Below are 2422 nucleotides of genomic sequence, written 5' to 3'. Positions count from 1 at the left end.
TTATAGGATTTGGGTGGGTAGTGGAAAATTACAGTCAAAAGGGGTTTTTCTCTTGCGGGCAGGGGGCAGGGGTTGTTACAAGGTGCTTGGTGGGGGAGCTTCTGAGACTTATTGTCCAGGAGAAGGAATTTCACAAATTTAATTGATCAGCTAAGGTGGGGCAGGAACAAATCACAATGGTGGAATGTCATCAGTTAAGGCAGGAACCGGCCATTTTCACTTCTTTTGTGATTCTTCAGTTGCTTCAGGCCATCTGGATATATACGTGCAGGCTTGGGCTCAGAGGCCTGATAATCTCCTCTATCCTCTAATATTGTGGCATCTGTCAAGGAAGTGAAAAAGGGGAGTCACCCACCCTTGCATGTTGAATATGCCAGTGGGCCCAGGTTTGGGTCAAACCTGTGTGTGGGGAGCCTCAGTAGCTGTGCAGAACTTGTAGGGAGCTGCTTTCATCACCTGAGCATAATAGGAAGCTGAGTATGTACAGTCACAAGCTAAGGGGCTGTAAGGGGCTTTATATCCAGGATAACTTAATATGTGCCCAGAAACTTTATTCTAATGGTATATAATATGGGACTGAGAAGGATATTTTTATAACAGAACCTCATGGGCAACTCTTGGCCATCATAGTTGGTCCAGAGCCTCCAGGAAGCATTGTAACCAAACAAAAGGTTAGTTGCTCACCACATGCAGAGTCTGATTAATTAGAGTTAGGTCTGACACAAAGAAATTGATTGATTCTGGAGCTAGCTTAGGGAAAGAGGCACATGTGTCTTACCTTACAGCTTCACTTTTGGAGCAGAAAGCAGGCAAGGGAGCACTTTGGAAAGCCAAACAGGTTGATCACTTGAGGTCAGGAGTTCGAGACCAGCCTGGCCAACATGGTGAAACCCTGTCTCTACTAAAAATACAAAAATTAGCTGGGCATGGTGGCATACACCTGCAGGGCCAGCTACTCGGGTGGTTGAGGCAGGAGAATCTCTTGAACCCAGGAGGCACAGGTTGCAGTGAGCTGAGATCACACCACTGCACTCAAGCTTAGGCAACAGAGACTCCATCTCAAAAACAAAACAAAACAAAACAAAACAAAACACAAGGCAAGGGAGGAAATGAGCAAAATGGTGCAGGGGAAGGGAGCAGAGGGTGCATGCTAGCTCTGATGCTGTATCTACTGTCTGATCCAGCTGCAGACTTCTGGTGCCTTTCTGGGCAAGCTGTTATCTCTGAAGGCAACCCCCTGGAGGGTGAAAGTTATGTAGCAGCATGCTTTGGCTTGTAAATCAACTGTTAACTCTGTTTGGTCTTGGAGCACATAGTTGAATTTGCACTGTAGGGATAGTCTGTTGGAAGGGCGGTCAAAGGCTGTATTTGCATTTCTAAAGACTATGTAGGAAGTGGGAAACCAGAGGAAAAGAAAGTAAAAAAGAAGAGAAATTATTATTTAAAAACAAACAAACAAAAAAAAAACACTATTTCTTAGAAAAATGGGGGTACTCAGTTACAGCATGAGAGGAAGTAGTTAGAGCCTGTACAGTGAAGGAGTCTCTAAGGGCACTAACAAAAGTACCTATTGATTTTAATTTGGACATATTCTAGAGCTGTTTTTGGAGGGGGCTCTAGTTAAGGTGTACTGATTAGTAACTTAGTAGCATCAGTGAGATGAAGTAAAATTTGTATGAGTACTAAGTTGCCTCCAGTACCAAAATAGGGCTAAAAGATGTTGAATTTGTTTGTCCTTAATAAGCGTGTCAAACGAATCTCCTCAGAGGAGAATGTCTTCAATGTAATATCATACCTATGTTCCTGGAGAAATGGGATACAGTTAAGATAGTGTGTCTGCAAAGATAGTGTGTGATGGCAAAGCAGTTGAAGTCCCTCCTGGATAATCTAGCAAAATTTGTCACATCTCTTTGGAGATGAAGGAAAACTGGCTGAGAGGCTGCTGAAAAGGCACTTAATAGAACACATTAGCTAAATCTAAAATGGCAAATATTTACCAGTTGCTGATTGAATGAAATTAGTAATTTTAATGATGTTGGGCATTGGGCATGAGGGCTTAATAGATGGCACCATGGCTTTAAGATTGCATTAATCCATGATGAGATGCAATTTATTCATTTCAGGTTTCACAACAGGCAAAATTGGGCTGTCAAATGGAGTAGTAGTGAGAATAATCACCCGTTTATTATGTCTAATATAACACATTTTAATCCTTGAAGTACTTCCCTGTTTTAACTTATATCTTGCCATTTTAACTATTTTAATTGGGAGCTCACAGAGTCCCATTTTATCAAGACAATTTGTAAGTACCAAAGGCAATTTAATTTTAATTTATTACTTGTATCAGAGTATGCCTATTATGTGATATTTTGGGGGCAAAAGGTAATATGATTATGGTAAATTTGGGAAAGACTACAGGTAA

General features: G+C 41.4%; 2 annotated features.

The window, feature by feature from the left end:
* Nucleotides 466-1046: an enhancer, noted in NCBI's record as "OCT4-NANOG-H3K27ac hESC enhancer chr10:57582275-57582855 (GRCh37/hg19 assembly coordinates)". NCBI's record gives its function as "activates a minimal SCP1, AML or CMV promoter by ChIP-STARR-seq in primed H9 embryonic stem cells {active_cell/tissue: H9 hESC(primed)}" and the evidence as "EXISTENCE:reporter gene assay evidence [ECO:0000049][PMID:30033119]".
* Nucleotides 1047-1628: an enhancer, noted in NCBI's record as "OCT4-NANOG-H3K27ac hESC enhancer chr10:57581693-57582274 (GRCh37/hg19 assembly coordinates)". NCBI's record gives its function as "activates a minimal SCP1, AML or CMV promoter by ChIP-STARR-seq in primed H9 embryonic stem cells {active_cell/tissue: H9 hESC(primed)}" and the evidence as "EXISTENCE:reporter gene assay evidence [ECO:0000049][PMID:30033119]".

This window comes from Homo sapiens, chromosome 10 (genome assembly GCF_000001405.40).
Source record: "Homo sapiens chromosome 10, GRCh38.p14 Primary Assembly".
Taxonomy (NCBI): Eukaryota; Metazoa; Chordata; class Mammalia; order Primates; family Hominidae; genus Homo; species Homo sapiens.
Note: the sequence above shows the minus strand (reverse complement) of the source record. Positions and strands in the feature narration are given on the sequence as shown.